This window comes from Homo sapiens, chromosome 15 (assembly GCF_000001405.40).
Source record: "Homo sapiens chromosome 15, GRCh38.p14 Primary Assembly".
NCBI classification, from domain to species: domain Eukaryota; kingdom Metazoa; phylum Chordata; class Mammalia; order Primates; family Hominidae; genus Homo; species Homo sapiens.
The window spans coordinates 75,471,213-75,495,344 of NC_000015.10; the positions used below are offsets into that span (position 1 = coordinate 75,471,213).

Below are 24,132 nucleotides of genomic sequence, written 5' to 3' on the forward strand. Positions count from 1 at the left end.
ATCACCTAAGACCAGGAGTTTGAGACCAGCCTGGGTAACATCATGAGACTCCATCTCAAAAAAGAAAAAGAAAAAGAAAAAAAAAGAGTAGAGAAAATATGAAAATATGATAGGTCAGAGAGAACTCTCTGATAAACTGATAAACACACATCTACTGGTATGTTAGCAGGAGGTTTGTGTAAAAGCCTGAAGTCCCAGCCCAGGCAACATGGAAACCCTATCTCTACTAAAAATACAAAAATTAGTCAGGCATGGTGGTGGGTACCTGTAGTCCCAGCTACTTAGGAGGCTGAGGTAGGAGGATTGCTTGAATCCAGGAGGTTGAGACTGCAGTGAGCTGAGATGGCACCACTGCACTCCAGCCTGGATGACAAAGTGAGACTCTGTCTCAAAAAAGAAAAAAAAAAAAAAAAAAGGCCTAGGCCAGGCGCAGTGACTCATGCCTGTAATTCCAGCACTTTAGGAGGCCAAGGTGGCGGATCACCTGAGGTCAGGAGTTCGAGACTAGCCTGGCCAACACGGTGAAACCCCATCTCTACTAAAAATACAAAAATTAGCCAGGCATGGTGGTGGGCACCTGTAATCCCAGCTACTTGGGAGGCTGAGGCAGAATAGCTTCAACCTGGGAGGCGGAGGTTGCAGTGAGCTGAGATCGCACCACTTAAGGTTGCAGTGAGCTGAGATCGCACCACTTAACTCCAGCCTGCACAATAGAGTGAGACTCTTGTCTCAAAAAAAAAAGGCCTAAATCTACCTTGCCACCCTCCAGTGGCCCCAAAGTATTCCAAGGTAGAACTTCTCCCACTACCTCCTCTCCAAATAAGTGGTGGTTATAACAGTGCTAAGGAAGGGAATTTAACATTCACATTCATTTTTTTCCTTCCTCATCTGAAATAGGTTATTCCTTAAATTTGCCAGATTTGTAGACCAAAATTTCAAAAATATTCCTTTCATTAAAATCTTCCGGCCAGGCGCGGTGGCTCACGCCTGTAATCCCAGCACTTTGGGAGGCCGAGGCAGGCGGATCACGAGGTCAGGAGATCGAGCCCATCCTGGCTAACACGGTGAAACCCCTTCTCTACTAAAAATACAAAAAATTAGCCGGGCGAGGTGGCGGGCGCCTGAAGTCCCAGCTACTCGGGAGGCTGAGGCAGGAGAATGGCGTGAACCCCGGTGGGGGCAGAGCCTGTAGTGAGCTGAGATTGCGCCACTGCACTCCAGCCTGGGCGACAGTGAGACTCCGTCTCAAAAATAAAATAAAATAAAATAAAATAAAATAAAAATAAAATAAAATCTTCCTGGCCAGGCGCAGTGGCCCACGCTTGTAATCCCAGCACTTTGGGAGGCTGAGGCAACAGATCACGAGGTCAGGAGTTCAAGACCAGCCTGACCAACATGGTAAAACCCCATCTCTACTAAAAATCCAAAAATTAGCTGGGCATGGTGGCACGTTCCTATAATCTCAGCTACTCAGGAGAATCACTTGAACCCAGGAGGCAAGGGTTGCGGTGAACTGAGATCGAGCCATTGTACTCCCACCTGGGTGACAGAGCAAGACACCATCTCCAAAAAAAAAAAAAAAGATATTAGCCAGGCGTGGTGGCACATGCCCGTAATCCTAGCTATTCGGGAGGCTGAGGCAGGAGAATTGCTTGAACCTGGGAGACGGAAGTTACAGTGAGCCAAGATCGTGCCACACTGCACTCCAGCCTGGTGGCAGAGTGAGACTCCATCTCAGAAGAAAAAAAAAAAAAGTAGCAACAAATGGAGAGCAAAGGGAATCTGGTAATTCAGGAGTCAGGAAGGCAGCACCCCTCTGGAAATAGGGAACAGATAAAAGGAGAATTGTCCCATGTTTCCCAGAACTTCCTTTAGTGGATAAGGCCAGGACCTCAAAATAGGGTATAACTGGCACAGGGTTGCCAGAGCCAGGGATTAAAGCTTTAACAAGTTAGATCTATTCATCTCCACCATACCCGGGTTGTGGATTAGCTAAGAGATATCTCAAAATCTTTGCCCTGGCTTTCCTAATCCTCAATTTTTTTTTTTTTAATTGAGACAGAGTCTCGCTCTGTAGCCCAGGCTGGAGTGCAATGGCGTGATCTCAGCTCACTGCAACCTCTGCCTCCTGGGTTCAAGTGATTCTCCTGCCTCAGCCTCCCAAGTAGCTGGGATTACAGGCACGCACCACAATGCCCGGCTAATTTTTTGTATTTTTAATAGAGAAGGCACCATGCCCGGCTAATTTTTTGTATTTTTAATAGAGACGGGGTTTCACCAGGCTGGCCAGGCTAGTCTGGAACTCCTGACCTTGTGATCCGCCTGCCTTGGCCTCCCTAAGTGCTGGGATTACAGGCGTGAGCCACCGTGCCAGGCTGACCCTCATTATTTCTAAAAGCTAAACTTCCCTCTTTAATCACCCATGCCTAGGGACAGAGTGGAGGTGGAGACCTTTGGAAAAAAGGGATTAACTCACCGGGTGGTCATGACAATCACCAAGACTTTTTGCTCCCATACCATGAGCCAGAAATCACGATAGGTATTCTCCAAAGGACCTGAAATAAAAGGAGAAGACAAGAAACATGACTCTGGGAAACACTTTTTTTCTTTTGTAGGCGCTTCTGTTTTACTCCCCAATGGTAACTCCAAACCATAGATGGTTAGCTCCCTGCTCATCTTTCCACATCCCTGCTATTCAGTATAGTCCGTGGACCAATCACACCAGCATCGTATGGGAGAGTGTAAGAAACATGAATCTGCATGTCAACGAGATCCCCAGGTGAGTCGTAGGTAGGTTTGGGAAGCACTGCTACATACCCTCTCAGAGTCTTAATCATCAGAACTTCAGCCATCACATCCAGGCTGACAGTGTCAAACTGTAAGAATCTCTAGCTGTTTTCATCTCACCTAAGCTTCAGTTTTATAATCACAGATTGCTTACTAAACCATTAACCTTCTGTTTCCCATAATCTCAGATCCATTATGTCTGTAACTAAGTCTCCTCCTTCAAAATTAGCTTTATCTTGGCCGGGTGCAGTGGCTCATGCCTATAATCCCAGCACTTTGGGAGGCCATGGCAGGCAGGTTGCCTGAGCTCAAGAGTTTGAGATCAGCCTGGCAACATGGTAAAACCCCATCTCTATGAAAAATACAAAAATTAGCCAGGTGTGGTGGCACATGCCTGTAGTCTCAGGTACTTGGGAGGCTGAGGCACAAGAATTGCTTGACCCCGGGAGGTGGAGGTTGCAGTGAGCCAAGAGCGCACCACTGCACTCCAGCCTGGGCAACAGAACGAGACTCTGTCTCAAAAAAAAAAAAAATTAGCTTTATCTTGCAACTTTCTTATCTCTGTTAACAATACTAGCATTCTTAAATCATTCAGTCTTAAAAAGGTGAAGTCAACACTGACTTACCCATTTCCTTCATCTCCCAGAAGCAGTCAGTCACCAAATCCTAGAGATTTTTTACCTTTGAAATGTTTTTGGTTTTTATTCTTTTGCCCTCATCTTCTCCCCATCCTGTTCTTCCTGCTCGATTTCACTGACACAAAGACCACGTCATCTTCTAAGTTACTGTAACACCCTCTTAGTCTACTTTTTTGAATAGGCCTTTTTCCCTTCCAATCTACTCTGGGAAACCCCACCAGTTTAATCTTTCTTAAAAATTACTTCATCAGAACATAGACACACCATGCTCACTTTGGCCTCTATTCTTTCGCTCAAGCTGTCTCCGTCACCTCCAATGCTATTCATTTTCTACCCATTTTCAAGTGCCACCTCTTCCTTGAAGCTTTCTCTGACCACCGCATTCCTTGTGAAGCTTCTTCTCTTTTGCTTTTGATGGCACAGCTGGATCTATACAGGTTGACCATTTAATTTATATACTCTTCCATCCATTATTTTACTTTGTGGGAATTAATGATATCTCACTAAACATGGTCCTAAGGACAAAGGATTACAGGTGTGAGCCACTGCACCTGGCCAAATTCTCCTTTGCACAGGGCTGAGCACTCAGGGCTGAGCACTCAGCAATAACTTTGAAGATACTTGTGGGCTACCAACTCCACTTTGATCAAGACAGTAACCGGCCGGGCGCAGGGCTCACACCTGTAATCCCAACACTTTGGGAGGCCGAGGCAGGTGGATCACTTGAGGTCAGGAGTCCGAGACCAGCCTGGCCAACATGGTAAAACCCCGTCTCTACTAAAAATATGAAAATTAGCTGGGCACGATGGCAGGTGCCTGTAATCCCAGCTACTCGGGAGCCTGAGTTAGGAGAATTGTTTGAACCCAGGAGGCGGAGGTTGCATTAATTGCATTAAACCAAGATCGCACCATTGAACTCCGGCCTGGGCGACAGCAAGACTCCATCTCAAGAAAAAAAAAACGTAACAACTCAAGATAATTCCTTATACTTTCTGGGTGTTTCTTTCCTCTCTGCTTTCAGGAAAGCAGGGCAGTACTAATGGTTAATTTTGGTCTAGAAGTCTGCTGGTTCTACTACCCTTATTGCTAAGTCTTTTAGCAAGCACTAACATGATACTGGAATACCCTCTCTGCAGAAGTGGATGATGTCAAAAACGTGAGATCTTAGAAATACACTAAATATCCAATAAGAGAGGATTAATTAAATTATGACGTATCAGGTGGGGTGCAGTGGCGCACGCCTGTAATCCCAGCACTTTGGGAGGATGAGGCAGGCAGATCACTTGAGCCCAGAAGTTTGAGACCAACCTGGGCAACATTGCAAAACCCTGTCCCTACAAAAAATACAAAAACTAGCCAGGTGTAGTAGCACATGCCTGTAGTCCCAGCTACTCAGGAGACTGAGGTGAGAGGATCACCTGTGTGTGCCTGGAGAGGCCAAGGCTGCATTGAGCCATGATCGTGAACCATGATCATACCACTCTGTCACCCAGCCTAGGTGACAGAGTGAGACCCTGTCTCAAAAATAAATAAATAAATAATAGCATACCATAATTTATACAGTCTATAAAGTTGATGTTGTAAGAGCTGTATTTTTTGCTATGGAAAGGTATTCACAGATACCATTAAATGAAACAAGAGATAGTATAGAAAGAGCACATTTGGTTAAATTAAAAGTTTAGTTTTGTTTTTTTTGAGACCGAGTATCACTCTGTCGCCCAGGCTGGAGTGCAGTGGCGTGATCTCAGCTCACTGAAACCTCTGCCTGCCGCGTTCAAGCGATTCTCCTACCTCAGCCTCCTGAGTAGCTGGGATTACAGGCATGCACCACTACGCTCGGCTACTTTTTGTAGTTTTAGTAGAGAGGGGGTTTCATCATGTTGGCCAGGCTGGTTTCAAATACCTGACCTCAAGTGATCTGCCCGCCTTGGCCTCCCAAAGTGCTGGGATTACAGGCTTGAGCCACCGTGCCCGGCCTGGTTAAATATTTTGTATGCCTATATCTGCATGTATGCATAGATAAAGGTCTAGGAGGAGATGCTGTAAAATGTTAACATTATCTCTGGGTCCTAGGGTTATGAGGGATTATTTTTGTTTTCTAAATGTTCTACAATGGACATGCATTACCCTAGTATACACATCAAGAAGACAGTAAGGACACCTTTTCCACATCTCTGACCCTCAGCCTCATCCACATCCTACTCTCCTGCACCACAGCAACTCTCATATACTTCATTTTCCACATTCAGACCACTGGCAGAATTGGAGTACTGAGCAGTCAGAGCATATGGTAACTCAGTTACCAGACTGGGGCTGGGCAAACTTCTCACAGGCTCAAGAGAGATACTAAGAAGGGAAAGTTGTACTTCCCAGCTTAGACCCTTTAACAGTAAACTTCTCTCAAGAAATAAAGTCAGCAGTTTATACTGACATAGGTGAAACAATCCACAGACATGGCTTGTAAAAACTTCTGAACCAAACAAACATGGGTTCAAACCCTGGTTCTGCCACTTACTAGCTGCATGGTCCAAGGTCACGTAAACTTTTGGGTTTCAGTTTGCTCATCTATAAATTAATAAACCTCCCTTGCAGAGTCTCTATAATAATTAGATAGCATTTATGCATCTGATATATAATAGGTCTTCTCAATAGATGACATCATTAATAGAAATATAGGCCAGGCGTAGTGGCTGATGCTTGTAATCCCAGCACTTTGGGAGGCCGAGGTAGGCAGATCACTTCAGGCCGGGAGTTCGAGACCAGCCTAGGCAACATGGTGAAACCCTGTCTCTACCAAAAATACAAAAATTAGCCAGGCATGGTGGCAGGTGCCTGTAATCCCAGCTACTTGGGAGGCTGAGGCAGGAGACTCGCTTGAGCCCTGGAAGTGGAAGGTGCAGTGAGCCAAGATCATGTCACTGCACTCCAGCCTGGGCGACAGAGCGAAACTCCATCTCAAAACTTAATTAATTAATTAATTAAAAATAAAGAAGTTGCAGACATTATGATATTTTATTCCTAAATACTTGAGCACTTACTAGGAAAACAAGGACCTCCTCCTATAGAACATTACCATTATCACCTTAAGCATACATTAAACATGGATACAATGTTGGCTAAAAAAAATCTCCAATTGTCTCAATAGTTTGTCTTCAATAGATTTTTTTCTCCCAGTTGAGGATCTAATCAGATACTCTTTTTTTTTTTTTTTTTTTTTTTTTGAGACAGAGCCTTCCTCTGTCGCCCAGGCTGGAGTGCAATGGCGCAGTCGCAGTCCACTGCAACCTCTGCCTCCCAGGTTCAAGCAATTCTCCTGCCTCAGCCTCCCGAATAGTTGGGACTACAGGCACCCACCACCACACCTAGCTAATTTTTGTATTTTTAGTAGAGACGGTGTTTCACCATATTGGCCAGGCTGGTTTGGAACTCCTGACCTTGTGATCCGCCTGCCTCGGCCTCCCAAAGTGCTGGGATTACAGGCATGAACCACCACGCCTGGCCGATCCTCTTTTTTTTTTTCTTTTTGAGCGCAATCTCTGCTCGCTGCAACCTCCGCCTCCTGGGTTCAAGCGATTCTCCTGCCTCAGCCTCCCAAGTAGCTGGGATTACAGGCATGTGCCACCACGCCCGGCTAATTTTGTATGTTTAGTAGAAACGTGGTTTCTCCATGTTGGTCAGGCTGGTCTCGAACTTCCAACCTCAGTTTATCCACCTGCCTCGGCCTCCCAAAGTGCTGGGATTACAGGTGTGAGCCATTGTGACTGGCCCTTTAATTTATTTATTTTTGAGACAGGATCTTGCTGTGTCAGCCAGGCTGGAGTGCAGTGGCACGATCTCGGCTCAGAGCAACCTCTGCTTCCTGGGCTCAAGTGATACTCCCCCCTCAGCCTCCCAAAGTACTGGAGTTACAGGCGTGAGCCACTGTGCCTGGCCATGGTTCTCTTTAGTCTCCCTTTAATCTAGAACAGTTCTCTGCCTTTTTGTTTTTTATGGCATTAACTTTGGAGAGTCTGAGCCAGTTTTCTTATAGTATGTCCCACAATCTGGATTGTTTCCCATGACTAGATTCAGATTTTAAAACTGGCAATACACAATGCAGGTGATATTCATTTCTCAATGCATCATATCAGGAGGTGTACATAATGTCCCTTTGTCCTTTACTGGTGATACTAAGTTTGATCACTTGATTAAGGAGGTATCCACCGTATCTTGCTCTGCAGTGGTCAAAGGGCCTTACGCCCATCTGATGGTCTGTTGTCTTTCTGTATTATGATTTCCTCCTACCATCTTTGAAAGTGACATGATATTCTTGAGATGGAGAGGCCAGGTCAGGAAGAGTACTAGGATCATAGGAACATTTATAGAAACTCCACCTGAAATCCTCCTAGAGGCTGGGCATGGTGGCTCACGCCTGTAATCCCAACACTTTGGGAGGCCGAAGCGGGCAGATCACGAGGTCAGGAGTTCGAGACCAGCCTGTCCAACATGGTGAAACCCAGTCTCTACTAAAAATACAAAAATTAGCCGGGCGTGGTGGCACACACCTGTAGTCCCAGATACTCAGGAGGCTGAGGCAGGAGAATCACTTGAACCCGGGAGGTGGAGGTTGCAGTGAGTGGAGGTCGTACCACTGCACAATAGCCTGGGCGACACAGCAAGCCTCCATTTCAAAGGAGAAAAAAAAATGAGAAATCCTCCTAGAGCTCAGTATTCCACTGTCAGACTTATTAGCACATACTATCTATGTCAGAACATTTGCTGGAGTGCTCTGTGATGGTATAGGAACCAGCCTAGGCCTATTAGGACAGCAATACTCATTCCTAGATTGGACTCAATCTCTGGGAAGTCCACTGCTATTCTTGGCCTCTCACTAGACAGGAAGAGCATGAAGAGCTCACTGGCTGATGCATTCTGATGCCCTACACCCTTGCCAATACTAAGAAATAGCCCCAAAACTTGCAGGCAGTAGTGTTATGTGTTTAAATCTCCAGTTTATCTCTATGCGGTGAGTTTCCAGGCACACCTGGTACAGAAACCCCAAACTACTTATTTGCTTTTCTCAACCACCACCCATCTTTATAAAAGGCCAGGATCTAGTGGCCAAAACCTCCACTCAAGTTACCATTCGTTTAAAAATTATGCTATCATTTGGCACAAGGAATCATAAGTAGATGGCACAAAATCAACATGGGAGGGACGGACCAGCTTACCTTGTGTGCCAATGTAAGCATTCTTCTGCTTGTAGCCATCCATGAAACTGGCATTGATGTAATCTGTCTAATGATAAAAAGGAGACATCACTATAGCTACACAGAATACACCATTTGGGTCATAAAATGATGTACTCAGTAAGTAAAACCCAAGGTGTGAATATTCTCTTCTTGTTGAGCAGAAAATGAGGAGTGAAATGGCCAGCTCAAACCCTCACTTCAATAAATGGTGCTGGGACAAGTAGATATCTACATGCATAAAAATCAAGCTGACTCCTTCCTCACACTGTAAAACTGACTCAAAATGTATCACAGACCAAATGTAAGGGATTAAAACTATTAAAACTCTCAGAATAAAATATAAGAGTAAATCTTTGTGACCTTGGGTTAGGCAAAGCTTTCACAGATATGATACCAAAGGCGTAAGTGACAAAAGAAAAGAGATAAATTGGACTATATTAAAATTAAAAACTTATGCCAGGCGCGGTGGCTCACGCCTGTAATCCCAGCACTTTGGGAGGCCGAGGAGGGTGGATCACGAGGTCAGGAGATCGAGACCATCCTGGCTAACACGGCGAAACCCTGTCTCTACTAAAAATACAAAAAAGGTCTCTTCCGTGAGGAGCGCAGAGGAGGTCGCGGCGCCGGAGGCCCCAGAAGGCTCGAAGGCGCCGCGGGCTGGGGTCGGTGGCTTAGGGAGCCCGTCCGGCCATGGTGGCCGCGGGTGGTGGTTGGCGCGGCTGCGCTGCGGCCTGGGGCAGTGCGGAGCCGGGACAGTCGCGGCGCTGACGCCCGCGGGCCCCAGCTGCAGATATGAAGCGGAGCCGCTGCCGCGACCGACCGCAGCCACCGCCGCCCCACAGCCGGGAGGATGGAGTTCAGCGGGCAGCGGAGCTGTCTCAGTCTTTGCCGCCGCGCCGGCGAGCGCCGCCCGCGAGGCAGCGGCTGGAGGAGCGGACGGGCCCCGCGGGGCCCGAGGGCAAGGAGCAGCCGCCTGCCTTGGCCTCCCAAAGTGCCGAGATTGCAGCCTCTGCCCGGCTGCCACCCCGTCTGGGAAGTGAGGAGTGTCTCTGCCTGGCCGCCCATCGTCTGGGATGTGAGGAGCCCCTCTGCCTGGCTGCCCAGTCTGGAAAGTGAGGAGCGTCTCCGCCCGGCCGCCATCCCATCTAGGAAGTGAGGAGCGCCTCTTCCCAGCCGCCATCACATCTAGGAAGTGAGGAGCGTCTCTGCCCGGCCGCCCATCGTCTGAGATGTGGGGAGCGCCTCTGCCCCGCCGCCCCATCTGGGATGTGAGGAGCGCCTCTGCCCGGCCGAGACCCCCTCTGGGAGGTGAGGAGCGTCTCTGCCCGGCCGCCCCGTCTGAGAAGTGAGGAGACCCTCTGCCTGGCAACCACCCCGTCTGAGAAGTGAGGAGCCTCTCCGCCCGGCAGCCACCCCATCTGGGAAGTGAGGAGCGTCTCCGCCGGGCAGCCACCCCGTCCGGGAGGGAGGTGGGGGGGGGTCAGCCCCCGGCCCGGCCAGCCGCCCCATCCGGAGGAGGTGGGGGGTCAGCCCCCCCGCCCGGCCAGCCGTGCCATCCGGGAGGGAGGTGGGGGGGTCAGCCCCCCGCCTGGCCAGCCGTGCCGTCCGGGAGGAGGTGGGGGGGTCAGCCCCCCACCCGGCCAGCCGCCCCGTCCGGAGGTGAGGGGCGCCTCTGCCCGGCCGCCCCTACTGGAAGTGAGGAGCCCTCAGCCCGGCCAGCCACCCCGTCCGGAGGGAGGTGGGGAGGTCAGCCCCCGCCCGCCAGCCGCCCGTCCGGGAGGGAGGTGGGGGGTCGCCCCCCGCCCGGCCAGCCGCCCCGTCCGGGAGGGAGGTGGGGGGGGTCAGCCCCCCCGCCCAGCCAGCCGCCCTGTCCGGGAGGTGAGGGGTGCCTCTGCCCGGCCGCCCCTACTGGGAAGTGAGGAGCCCCTCTGCCCGGCCAGCCGCCCCGTCCGGGAGGGAGGTGGGGGGGGGTCAGCGCCCCTGCCTGGCCAGCCGCCCCTCCGGGAGGTGAGGGGGCGCCTCTGCCCGGCCGCCCCTACTGGGAAGTGAGGAGCCCCTCTGCCCGGCCACCACCCCGTCTGGGAGGTGTGCCCAACAGCTCATTGAGAACGGGCCAGGATGACAATGGCGGCTTTGTGGAATAGAAAGGGGGGAAAGGTGGGGAAAAGATTGAGAAATCGGATGGTTGCCGTGTCTGTGTAGAAAGAAGTAGACATGGGAGACTTTTCATTTTGTTCTGCACTAAGAAAAATTCCTCTGCCTTGGGATCCTGTTGATCTGTGACCTTACCCCCAACCCTGTGCTCTCTGAAACATGTGCTGTGTCCACTCAGGGTTAAATGGATTAAGGGCGGTGCAAGATGTGCTTTGTTAAACAGATGCTTGAAGGCAGCATGCTCCTTAAGAGTCATCACCAGGCCGGGCGCGGTGGCTCACGCCTGTAATCCCAGCACTTTGGGAGGCCGAGGCGGGCGGATGACGAGGTCAGGAGATCGAGACCATCCTGGCTAACACGGTGAAACCCCGTCTCTACTAAAAATACAAAAGATTAGCCGGGCGTGGTGGCGGGCGCCTGTAGTCCCAGCTACTCGGGAGGCTGAGGCAGGAGAATGGCGTGAACCCGGGAGGCGGAGCTTGCAGTGAGCCGAGATCGTGCCACTGCACTCCAGCCTGGGCGACAGAGCGAGACTCCGTCTCAAAAAAAAAAAAAAAAAAAAAAAAAAAGAGTCATCACCAATCCCTAATCTCAAGTAATCAGGGACACAAACACTGCGGAAGGCCGCAGGGTCCTCTGCCTAGGAAAACCAGAGACCTTTGTTCACTTGTTTATCTGCTGACCTTCCCTCCACTATTGTCCCATGACCCTGCCAAATCCCCCTCTGTGAGAAACACCCAAGAATTATCAATAAAAAAATAAATTAAAAAAAAATACAAAAAAATAGCTGGGCGTGGTGGCAGGCGCCTGTAGTCCCAGCTACACGGGAGGCTGAGGCAGGAGAATGGCATAAACCCGGGAGATGGAGCTTGCTGTGAGCTGAGATCGTGCCACTGCACTCCAGCCTGAGCGACAGAGCGAGACTCTGTCTCAAAAAAAAAAAAAATTCATTCATCATCAGCCATCATGGAAATGCAAATCCATACCACGAGATACTAATTTATACCCACTAGGATGGCTACAGATATCAAAGATAGATAATACTGTTGGCAAGGATGTGGAAAAACTGAAACCCTCATACATGTGTAAACCCTCCTTATACATGGCTAGTGGTAATGTAAAATGCTGCAGTTACTTTAGAAAACAGTCTGGTTGTTCCTGAAAAGATTAAACAGTTACCATATGACCCAGCAATTCCACTCCTTAGCAAAATAACATAGGTGCATACAAAAACTTATACATAAATATCCATAGCAGCATTATTCGTAATAGCCAAAAATGGAAACAACTCAAATGTCCTTCAACTGATAAATGAATAAAAGTGGTATATCCATACAATGGAATATTATTTGGCAGTAAAAAGCAGTGATGTGATGATACATGCTATGACATGGATGGACCTAGAAAACATTATGCTAAATGATAGAAGCCAGACACAAAAAGCTACATAGTCTAGGATTCTCTTTGTATGAGATCCCTAGAACAGGCAAATCTATGGAGATAGGAAATAAATCAGAGTGGGTTAGAGGGAAATAGGTAGCGACTGCCAAGGGTGTGAGGTTTCTTTGGGAAATGAAAAAAATGTTCTAAAGTTGTTTGTGGTGATGGTGGCACAACTCTGTGAATATACTAATAGCCATTGACTTATATACTTTAAATAGGTAAATTGTATGGTATGTGAACTGTTGGAGGCCGAAAGAATGAGGGTCATGATCAACTCAGTATACCACTGGAGGCTACATGAGCAAAAAGGAAACTGTTCTCATGAAAGCAGGATGTTGGCAAACTGACAAACTGCATCTGCCGCCCAGAAGGAATGCTGAGGGCAGTCACGACCCAGGCACAAGTGTTTCTTGTAGTTAGGCACATCTGAAGCCTGTTAGCAATAATGTGTACCTGTGATCAATTAAGCAGCTGACCAATCGTTACCTCCTCCTCCCTGCTCTTGGTACCCAATAAATACAAAGGGCTGTAGAAGCTCAGGGCTGCCTTTGCTCACTAGAAGCAGGGAGTTCTCTTCTTCCCCATGTTACCCTTCCTTTAGAATAGTTATTTTTGTCTTAAGTTTTCATTGCTATGTTTATCCCCCTTCATTCAGTCTCCTAATGACGGTCTCAAGTAATAACAATAGTAACTGCCCTAGTGACATCTCAAGCAGTAATTGTGGCAGTCTGCCAGAGTGAACTATATAACTCAATAGAAACTGTTATTTACAAGAAAAGGGTCCATCAAGACTTGCAACACTGTAGCACAGGACCAAATGAGAGGCAAGGCAAGCAAGTAGGAACACCTGGTCCATCCTGCCACACACAAAAGGCAAAATATGAATGGAGAAGAAATAAAGCTACATCTCATACTTAGGACCATCAACAGACGAGCCAAACACCTGGACTCCATTATTACCTGAATTAATGCAAAGCAACTTCCAGTCAAATTCAAAGGCATCTCAATGAACAGCTCCTGACTACCTCTCTTCCAGGGTATTCTCCCACCTCCTAATGTCCTCAGTCTTAATTACTTCAACATCATTTTTTATAAATACCTACTCAAAAGATCCTTTGATCCAGGCTGATAAAAGAGAAACATCAATCAGCTGCAGTTTTATGTTATAGTATAACTAGTTGGGAGTTGAATGGATAGAAGCAGTGGAATGGATAAGGGAAGGTGTGAAGGGTTACAGAAGGACAAAAGAAAAGTTTCAATAGCAAACTAGGGAAAACTCATAACCCACTGCATTACAGAGAGGTCAGACTGACTCTTTCCTCAACCTATCACTCGTTCTCCTGTGGGTCCTATCACTGGGTGGGCAGTCTGAACTGTCAGTATCCCATAGCTAACCTCCTAAGATATCTCCACCTCATGGTCAAACCCATGTTACTTGGATTTGTGTTCATTAGCCAGTCAGTCTACCAATTTATCACTCTACTATTTATTTAGTCAAGAGTTTCCTCCTTAGAAACTGTTTCTTTGACTAAATAAATAGTGGAGTGATAAACTCGGAGTTTTCCCTCCCATAGCAGCTAGTATTGACCTCATACGATTACTGTCCTACCCTGACTCAGACAACTTCACTGAGCTAATAGACCACCTGCAGCAGACCCAGCATGCTAAAAGCCTCACTCACTTCCAAACAGGCTTCTCAATCCAGGGTGCACCCAGTCAGCCAAAGCCCATCCTCTACTCAACCTGGCACATGCAAATGGTATACCCACTCGAGGACCAAGGGGAGAAGGTATGGAAAAGCACAAAAGATTTACCTAGTATATGCCAGTCAGCATTAGTAAGAACATAAGGAGGAACTAACTTCATGCTTTGAAAAGAATTGTCACTTCTTTTTTTTTTTTTTTTTTTTTTTTTGAGACGGAGTCTCGCTCTGTTGCCCAGGCCGGACTGCGGACTGCAGTGGCGCAATCTCGGCTCACTGCAAGCTCCGCTTCCCGGGTTCACGCCATTCTCCTGCCTCAGCCTCCCGAGTAGCTGGGACTACAGGCGCCCGCCACCGCGCCCGGCTAATTTTTTGTATTTTTTTAGTAGAGACGGGGTTTCACCTTGTTAGCCAGGATGGTCTTGATCTCCTGACCTCATGATCCACCCGCCTCGGCCTCCCAAAGTGCTGGGATTACAGGCGTGAGCCACCGCGCCCGGCCGAATTGTCACTTCTTTAAAGAAGACATTATTTCTTTATAACTAAGAATTACCAGCTTTAGCACTGGTCTCTGAGCTGATTTTTAATTCCCAGGGAATTAAATTTTTAATTTCAGCAACTTCGGAAGAATCACTGGATATTAAAACTGAAGGCCGGGCGCAGTGGCTCACGCCTGTAATCCCAGCACTTTGGGAGGCCAAGGCGGGCAGATCACGAGGTCAGGAGATCAAGACCATCCTGGCTAACAAGGTGAAACCCCATCTCTACTAAAAATACAAAAAATTAGCTGGGTGTGGTGGCGGGCGCCTGTAGTCCCAGCTACCTGGGAGGCTGAGGCAGGAGAATGGCACGAACCCGGGAGGTGGAGGTTGCAGTGAGCCGAGATCGCACCACTGCACTCCAGCCTGGGCGACAAAGCGAGACTCCAACTCAAAAAAAAAAAAAAAAACAAAACTGAAAATGACCCAGAGATAAAGTATACACTTGGGGGAAAATTGGAATAGCAGGAAGAACAAACCCGGAACACTATGTTGTGAGCCATTGCTATAGACTGATCATTTGTGTCCCCCATAACTTCAAATGTGTAATCCCAACCCCAGACCCTCAATGTAATGGTATTAGGAGATGGGGCCTTTAGACAGGTGATTAGGACCATGAGGACAGAGCTCTCACAAATGGGATTAGTGCCCTTATAAGACAGAAGAGTTCTGAAGTGCTCCCTCACCCCTTCCCCTTCTGCCATGTGAGGATGCAATGAGTAGACAGTGGTCTATGAACCAAGAAAGGGGCCCTCACCAGACCCCAAATCTGCCAGCACGTTGATCTTGGACTTCCCAGACTCCACAATAGTGAGAAATAAATTTCTGTTGTTTATAAGCCATCCTGCATGTGGTATTTTTGTTACAGCAGCCCAAACAGATTAAGGCAGCCATGTTCAACAGAAACTGGGACTAATAGCTTTAAAATTCCAGAAGCAAATCAAGTAAACAATTCACTAAAAAACCTGAATCCTCCAAATAACAAGGTATTGTATACTTGAAAATTGCGGACAGCATATTTTAAGTGTTTTCACCACAAAACAAGGTAAATATGTGAAGTAATGCATATGTGGTGTTTTTTTTTTTTTTTTTTTTGAGACGGAGTCTTTGCTCTGTTGCCCAGGCTGGAGTGCACTGGTGCGATCTCGGCTTACTGCAAGCTCCGCCTCCCAGGTTCATGCCATTCTCCTGCCTCGGCCTCCCGAGTAGCTGGGACTACAGGCGCCCACCACCACACCTGGCTAATTTTTTGTATTTTTTAGTAGAGACGGGGTTTCACCGTGTTAGCCAGGATGGTCTCGATCTCCTGACCTTGTGATCTGCCCGCCTCGGCCTCCCAAAGTGCTGGGATTACAGGTGTGAGCCACCGTGCCCGGCAAAGTAATGCATATATTAACTAGCTTGACTTAGTGTCTCTGCAATCCATACATATTTTAAAATATTATATTGTATACCATAAATATATACAATTTCTATCAATTAAAATTTAAAAACAACTAAATGTCAGAAAACAGAATGGAAAAATAGCCCCATAGGTGGAAATTCCATGAGAGTGTTAAGTCCCCAAAGCTAAGTAAATAATTTTTTTTTTTTTGCTTTCGGCCCGCAAAGTAAATAATGTCAAAAAAACTAAAAACTAAAATCAAAATAAAATAAAAAAAAAGCCTAAATACTCCATTTACTATAAAAATAAAGCCTCCGCTAATGTTTCAGTAAGGAGAGGGACTACAAATCAGACAATGATCTTCATATTAACCACAGGATGATTAGAAGAATCTCCCAGTACACTAAGATTCACTCATTCACAAATATGTCCTGAGTGTCTGATATGTGGCAGGCACTGTTCTAGGTACTGGAGACAGGGAAGTCAACAAAATGGATAAATACAGGTATCTCTGACTCCAGAGCCCCAACTCAACCACTGTACTCCACTCCTTCAGGGCATATACGATGATGATCTCAGCAGTACTGATGAATTTACCCTCCAGCCAGCCAGTCTCTTAGCTCAAATGCTCCTGCAGGAAAATCTTCTCCAAGGGTCCTGGATAGGACTGTGAATTCAGTTTATGTGCTTGAAACAACAGGGACAAGAGAGTTGGAAACCATGATCCTGGGGTCCCAACCCACATGTCATATATGCCCAAATACAAGGCAGTAAGTTTTCCAAAAATTATTCCCCAGAAAGAGAAGGGATATAACAAGTCCTTATAATGTGTGTCATGTTAAAGAGGTACTATTTAAATTACTTTACTGTGTGTCATGTTAAAGAGGCACTATTTAAATTACTTTACTTTGCCGGCGCAGTGGCTCATGCCTGTAATCCCAGCACTTTGGGAGGCTGAGGCAGGCGGATCACCCCAGGTCAGGAGTTCAAGACCAGCCTGACCAAAATGATGAAACCCCGTATCTACTAAAAATACAAAAATTAGCCGGGCATGGTGGCATGCACCTGTAATCCCAGCTACTCGGGAGGCTGAGAAAGGATAATTGCTTGAACCCAGGAGGTGGAGGTTGCAGTGAGCTGAGATTGCGCCATTGCACTCCAGCCTGGACAACAAGAGCGAAACTCTGTCTCAAAATAAATAAATAAATAAAAATAAAATAACTTTACTTTGAACAACCTCAGTCAATGCTGGGTTTTTTTTTTTTATGAGATCACCTAACAAAATTGGGTTTTTCGGAGATATCACCTAATAAAATTGGTATATCAGAAGGGAAAAAAAGGAAGATAATAATAATTTAGTCATTCATCTCAAAATTCTAAGGTTGGATGTTGCTGTAAACAAGTTATATTAAAAAGGAATTATGGCCAGGCACACCGGCTCATGCCTGTAATCCCAGCACTTTGGGAGGCCAAGGTGAGAGGATTGCTTGAGCCCAGGAAGAACTTAGGCAACACAGCGAGACCCTAGGTCTACAAAAATAAAATTAAAAAAAATCAGCCATGTGTAATGGCGTGTGCCTGTAGTCTCAGCTACTTGGGAGGCAGAGGTGGGAGGATCGCTTGAGCCCAGGAGTTCAAGGGTGCAGTGAGCTACGATCAAGTCACTGCACTCAAGCCTGGGTGACAGAGTGAGACCCTGTCTCAATTTTCTGTTTTTTAAGGATTTTACAAAGGAATAAGTGAATGAATCATATTATAGGGGATGCATAAGATGCAGGATGAATTAAAAAACCAACTTGTCCTGGCCGGGCCTAGTGGCTCATGCCTGTAATCCCAGCACTTTGGGAGGCCGAGACGGGCGGATCACGAGGTCAGGAGATCGAGACCATCCTGGCTAACATGGTGAAACCCCGTCTCTACTAAAAACACAAAATATTAGCCGGGCGTGGTGGTGGGCACCTGTAGTCCCAGCTACTCGGGAGGCTGAGGCAGGAGAATGGCGTGAACCTGGGAGGTGGAGCTTGCGGTGAGCCAATATTGCGCCACTGCACTCCAGCCTGGGGGACAGAGCAAGACTCCGTCTCAAAAAAAAAAAAAAAAAAAAAAAATTTGTCCTAATGTTACCCTAACAGATTTTCCTGGTTTAGGATAAAATTTCCAGTCACAATGCCACACACTTAAAAGTAAATAAAGATGTTGTACTCTGGAAAACCTTGTTAGACTGACTCAAAAATTGGCCTGTAATTCCAGCACTTAGGGAGGCTGAGGCAAGAGGATTGTTTGAGCACAAGAGTTCAAGACCAGACTAGGCAACATAGTGAGAACTTGTCTCTACAAAAGTATTTAAAAATTAGCCATGTATGTGGCACACACCTGTGGTCTCAGCTACTTGGGAGGCTGAGGTACAAGAATCACTTGAGCCCAGGAGGTCAAGGTTGCAGTGAGCTGTGATCACTGTACCTAGCCTGGGCAATAAAGCAAGACCTTGTCTTGAGGGAGAAAAAAAAAAGTGGCTCAAATGTGACAAAGACACTAAAGTTAAAGGTGTATGTAAAGTGTTTGAATAAAATGTTCATTAAATATCTCTGTTAATAGATTACATATGAGGCTTTTAACATGTAGATATAATCAAATTAATATATTAAATAATATAGTCATTTGACCATTTCATCTCTATCCCTAGACATTTATGTATACATAAGTTGTCCACAATTTCCTCAGATACAGATGGAGAAATCAGAGGTCACTTATAATCAAAGTTGCTTTGTATTGATGCATATATACTCACCAAAGGAATTGCACTATATGACCATGACTTTACAACTAAGGAGTAAAATGATAAATAATTTAACATCTATGAAGCACCTACAATACAACAGACCTTGCACTATCAGCATTCACATAAAGAATTTCATTTAATTTCCACTCAATACTGTGAGATGGGCATTTGAGGACTTGCCTATGGTCACAGACTAGTATGTAGCAAAATATAAACTCAAACCTAATCTCTCTGGCCTCGGAGTCTACTTTCATTCTACCGAAGTATTAGTAAGCTTCACTTTGGAAGAAGCTCTATTTCCCCCAGTGCACCTAAAAAGATTACATTTATCTGTCTACCTGAGTATGGCCACTTCGCTTTGTTAGCTTCACTCTAGTTTGGTCCAGGCAGGGTACATCCCCATAACGGTTTTTCTCTAGGTTTCCTGGAGACCTGAAGGAAACGAAACAAACAAGCAAGAATAAAGAAAAAGTGGGGACAGTATGTATGTACAAAATCTGACCATGCTAAAGGGGTGTCAATTACTCTTAGGGGTGGAGACATGGAAGCTTTTCAATTTCTAGCCCATACAGTTCCATATCATTTAACATTTTTTGTGGTAAGTACATACTACTTCTAAAAGTAAACATATCTCCATTCAAAAGAGAGAGGGAGACCAGGCATGGTGGCTCACACCTGTAGTCCCAGCACTTTGGGAGGCAGGAGGATTGCTTGAGGCCAGGAGTTCGTGAGCAGTCTGGGAAATGTAATGAGAGCTTATCTCTTTTTTTTTTGAGACGGAGTCTCGCTCTGTTGCCCAGGCTGGAGTGCAGTAGCGTGATCTCGACTCACTGCAAGCTCTACCTCCTGGGTTCACGCCATTCTCCTGCTTCAGCCTCCTGAGTAGCTGGGACTACAGGCTCCCGCCACCACGCCCAGCTAATTTTTTTGTATTTTTAGTAGAGACGGGGTTTCACCATGTTAGCCAGGATGGTCTCGATCTCCTGACCTCATGATCTGCCCGCCTCGGCCTCCCAAAGTGTTGGGATTACAGGCATGAGCCACTGCGCCCTGCCTAATGAGAGGTTATCTCTAGAGAGAAGTCAAAAAATTAGCCGGGCATCATGGCACACACCTGTACTCCTAGCTGCTCAGGAGTCTAAGGTGGGAGGACGGCTTCAGCCCAGGAAGTCAAGGCTGCAGTGCGCTATGACAGCGCCACTGCACACCAGCCTGGGTGACGGAGAGAAACCCTGACTTAAAAAAAAGAGAAGCTGGGTGTGGTGGCTCATGCCTGTAATCCCAGCACTTTGGGAGGCCAAGGCGGGTGGATCACCTGGGGTCAGGGGTTCAAGACCAGACTGGCCAAGATGATAAAACCCTGCCTTTACTAAAAATACAAAAATTAGCCAGGTGTGATGGCACACACCTGTAATCCCAGCTACTCAGGAGGCTGAGCCAGGAGAATCGCTTGAACCTGGGAGGTGGAGGATGCAGTGAGCCAACATCACACCACTGCACTCCAGCCTGAGTGACAAAGCAAGACTTTATCTCAAAAAAAAAAAAAAATAATTAAATTTAAAAACAGAGAGAAGGAGTGGGGATGGGAGTCCCAAATGGCCAAGGCAGAAATTGGTACTAAGAAGTGGGGTGCTTCTGTAACAAATAACTAAAAATGTGGAAGCAGCTTTGGACCTGGGTAATGGACAGAGCTGATAGAATTTGGAAGTACATGCAGAAAAAGCCTATGTTGCCATAAACAGGCATAAAAGGCAATTCTACTATGGGCTCAGAAAAAGAAGAGCTATAGAGAAAGCCTCAGTCTTCTTAGAGATTACCTAAGTGATACTGATCAGAAAACTGGTAGAAATATGGGTGGTAAAATCCATTTTGATGAGGTCTCAGACAGAGATGAGGAGCACATTAGTAAAAAGAGAGAGAGGGAGAGAAGGGGAGAGAAATGGGGTATACCACCAAAAAACTCCAGCTGCAGATAAAAATTTCTACTACTTATTTGTCAAAAGATGTTCAAACCAAATCTCTTCAATTCCAATTTCATTTTCTTTTTGGGACAGGGTCTCAAAGGTCTCCAGGGTCGCCCAGGCTGGAGTCCAGTGGCACAATCACAGCTCACTTGCAGCCTTAATCTCCCTGGGCTCAGTCCCAGATGCACACCACCACGCCCAGCTAATTTTTAAATTTTTTGTAGAGAAAGGGTTTTGCCACATTGCCCAGGCTGGTCTCAAACTCCTGGGCTCAAGCAATCCTCCCGCCTCAGCCTCCCAAAGTGCTGGGATTATAGGTGTGAGTCACCGAGCCTGACCTTAAATGCCAGTTTAACATGGTAGGTTGATAACACATATTGACTGCACTCCATTCATCCAGTAGCTTCACTAAAATGATGAAAAAGGAGTATTCACTACAAACCCAAAAAGTGACAGTGGAGACATCAGCACACAAAGAGTGTTCAACTCATTTTGACAGAGAAAAAGCAGATAGGAGGATTTTGGCTGACGTGGCCAGACACAGAAGCTAGGACCAAGGGAGGTACCTATAGAGAGACAAGATGGCACACCCTTAGAACTCCCTTACCATGGAAAGCAAGGTGAGGAACAGAGCTAAAAATGGGAATAAAATGAAAATCTGAATGTTATGTAGTGAAAATCCCTGACCCATTCTCATTGTCCTGACCTACACTCATATCCAAGTTTGGATCCCCTCAGCGGATCCAAAGGACAGGAGAACTCTTCACTGGATAAAGTAAACAGCATCAGGTGAAAGAATTCTGTCATTTGGAGAATACCCAACAAAAAGCTAGTTGTCTGATCATTATAATCTGAAGCTCATCCATGCAAAACGAGCTTCCATGCAGCTTGTTTTTGTTTTTGTTCATCACTGTCTGCTTTTGTAACCATGCAGCTTTTAAGGACCATAAATGTGAACTAAAAGCCAAGGATCTCAATGTAATTAAGGAAAGCCCTTACACAAAGACTTTAATACACAATTCAAATAACACAATTCAGGCTTGTCACGGTGGCTCATGCCTGTAATCCTAACTCTTTGGGAGGGCCAAGGTGGGAGGATCACTTGAGCTCAGGAGTTCAAGACCAGCCTGGGCAACATAGCAAGACCTTGTCTCTACTAAAAATTAAAAAAATTAGCTGGGCATGGAGGTACAAACCTGTAGTCCCGGCTATTCAGGAAGCTGAGGTAGGAGGATCACCTAAGCTTGGGAGACAGAAGCTGCAGTGAGCTATGATTGCATCCCTGCACTCCACCCTGGGTGACAAAGTGAGACCCTGTCTCAAAATCAAACAAAAAATAAACAAACAAAAAAACCCATAATTCAAACACATGGGGGCTACAGAAGTTTAAAAAAAAAGATAGTCAATAAGAGAAAAGTAACCTCTAAAAGGCTATCATTAATATCCTCAAAGAGAAAATAGATGATACAATTATACATAAAACAAGAAGAGAGTGCAATGAAAAAGGAACAGAGAAGAAAAGCTCTTGGAAATTAAAAATAATATCCAAAATAGGAATTTTAATAGACGAGATAAAAGAGAAAGTTGAGGAAATTTCCAGAATACAAAACAAAACAAAAAAAGTGATGAAAATATGAGAAAAACTGGCCAGGCACAGTAGCTCATGCCTGTTATCCCAGCACTTTGGGAGGCTGGGGTGGACGGATTACTTGAGGTCAGAAGTTTAAGACCAGCCTGGCCAACATGTTGAAACTCGTCTCTACTAAAAATACAAAAATCAGCAGGGCATGGTGGCACACGCTTTGTAGTCCCAGCTACTCGGGAGGCTGAGGCATGAGAATTGCTTGAACACGGGAAATGGAGGTTGCAGTGAGCTGAAATTGCGCCACTGTACTCCAGCCTGGGCAACAGAGCGAGACTCCGTCTCATTAAAAAAAAAAGAAAGAAAGAAAAAGAAAATATGAGAAAGATGAAGAAAGTTAAGAGAATCATTCTGGGACACAAGTCAGCAAACTATGCCCTGGCCACTTGTTTTTGTAAATGAAGTTTTACTGGAACACAGTCAAGCCCATTTATTTCTGTACTCACTAAGTATATATTGACAGTGTTGAGTCAGTAAACTATGCCCTGGCTACTTGTTTTTGTAAATAATGTTTTATTGGAACATAGTCAAGCTCATTTATTTCTGTACTCACTAAGTATATTTTGACAGCGTTGAGTACTTGTAACAAAGACTGTAAACCTCACAATACCGAAATATTTACTATCTTACCCTTTAAGAAAAAGTTTATCAATCCCATATATATATATATATATATATATAAAATCTATATATTTACATATAGAGAGAGAGCGCGAGCGAGAACTAACATAATACAAGGAAAGAAATCATTTAAAACACAGTGTAATAAGAAAAGCCCTAGAACTAAATAACAAACCTTCAGATTAAAAGAATCTATCAAGTAACCAATGTAATAAATTTTAAAAGAGGACCTACACTAAGGCACATCATTGTGAATCTTTTTTTTTGCAGGGGGTGGACAGAGTCTCGCTCTGTCCCCCAGACTGGAGTGCAGTGGCACAATCTTGGCTCACTGCAACCTCCGCCTCCCAGGTTCAAGGGATTCTTCTGCCTCAGCCTCCCGAGTAGCTGGGATTACAGGAGCCTGCCACCATACCTGGCTAATTTTTATATTTTTAGCAGAGACGGGGTTTCGCCATGTTGGCCAGGCTGGTCTTGAACTCCTCACCTCAGGTGATCTGCCCTCCTCAGCCTCCCAAAGTGCTGGGGTTACAGGCTTGAGCCACTGTGCCCAGCCTCTCTCAATCCTTTTAAATGATCTATTGTTTTTCTTTTTCCTTCCCTGGGCATTTTAAAGATAATTTCTTTTTCTGTTTAAGAAATTTAGACTGGGTGCAATGGCTCACTCCTGCAATCCCAGCACTTTGGGAGGCCAAGGAGGGCAGATCTCCTGAAGTCAGGAGTTTGAGACCAGCCTGGCCAACATGGTGAAACTCCGTTTCTACCACAAATACAAAAATTAGCCAGGCATGATGGCACACGCCTGTAGTCCCAGCTACTCAGGAGGCTGAGGCAGGAGAATCACTTGAACCCAGAAGGTGGAGGTTGCGGTGAGCTGAGATTGTGCCACTGCACTCCAGCCTGGGTGGCAGAGTGAGACCCCATCTTAAATAAATAAATAAATAATAAATAGATTGAGAAAGAATAAGATCAGACAATTCACAGACAGCATCACTAGTAATTGGAAAGGCATTGCCTTAAAAATTCTGAGATAAAGTTATTTCTAACCTAGAGTTCTATACTCCAGCAAAATAGAATAAAAGAAAGAAGATGGTCTACAATTAGGAAACAAGATCCAACAAAGGAAAGAGGGAAAACTGCAAGATAAAAACTGAGGAACAAGCCTAGAGAATAACCAACCACAGTTTAGACTAGAATGAAAGAAAAAGTTCTGAAAGTGAGGTCTCAGGAAAAAAAAAATAGATGCAA

The 24,132-nt window shown here is 45.9% G+C and overlaps 1 protein-coding gene and 1 long non-coding RNA gene across 4 annotated transcripts in view; one reads left to right on the forward strand and one right to left on the reverse strand.

The window, feature by feature from the left end:
* PTPN9 (protein tyrosine phosphatase non-receptor type 9) overlaps positions 1-24,132 on the reverse strand; it is a 116,065-nt gene that overhangs the window by 7,962 nt on the left and 83,971 nt on the right. Inside the window, exons 8-10 of the mRNA NM_002833.4 lie at positions 18,996-19,089; positions 8,636-8,702; positions 2,477-2,555 (exon numbers count right to left, since the gene is read on the reverse strand). Coding sequence (NP_002824.1) covers positions 2,477-2,555; positions 8,636-8,702; positions 18,996-19,089 — 240 coding nt within the window. The remainder of the gene's footprint in view (positions 1-2,476; positions 2,556-8,635; positions 8,703-18,995; positions 19,090-24,132) is intronic.
* Positions 1-24,132, forward strand: part of LOC105370902 (uncharacterized) — a 32,278-nt gene that overhangs the window by 451 nt on the left and 7,695 nt on the right. For 2 of the 3 annotated variants that reach the window (XR_932482.2, XR_001751804.2), the window contains exon 2: positions 2,616-2,779. This is a non-coding gene — a long non-coding RNA (uncharacterized LOC105370902). Of the gene's footprint in view, positions 1-2,615; positions 2,780-8,817; positions 9,136-24,132 lie in introns of those variants that run through there. The other variant, XR_932483.2, reaches the window with a different exon arrangement.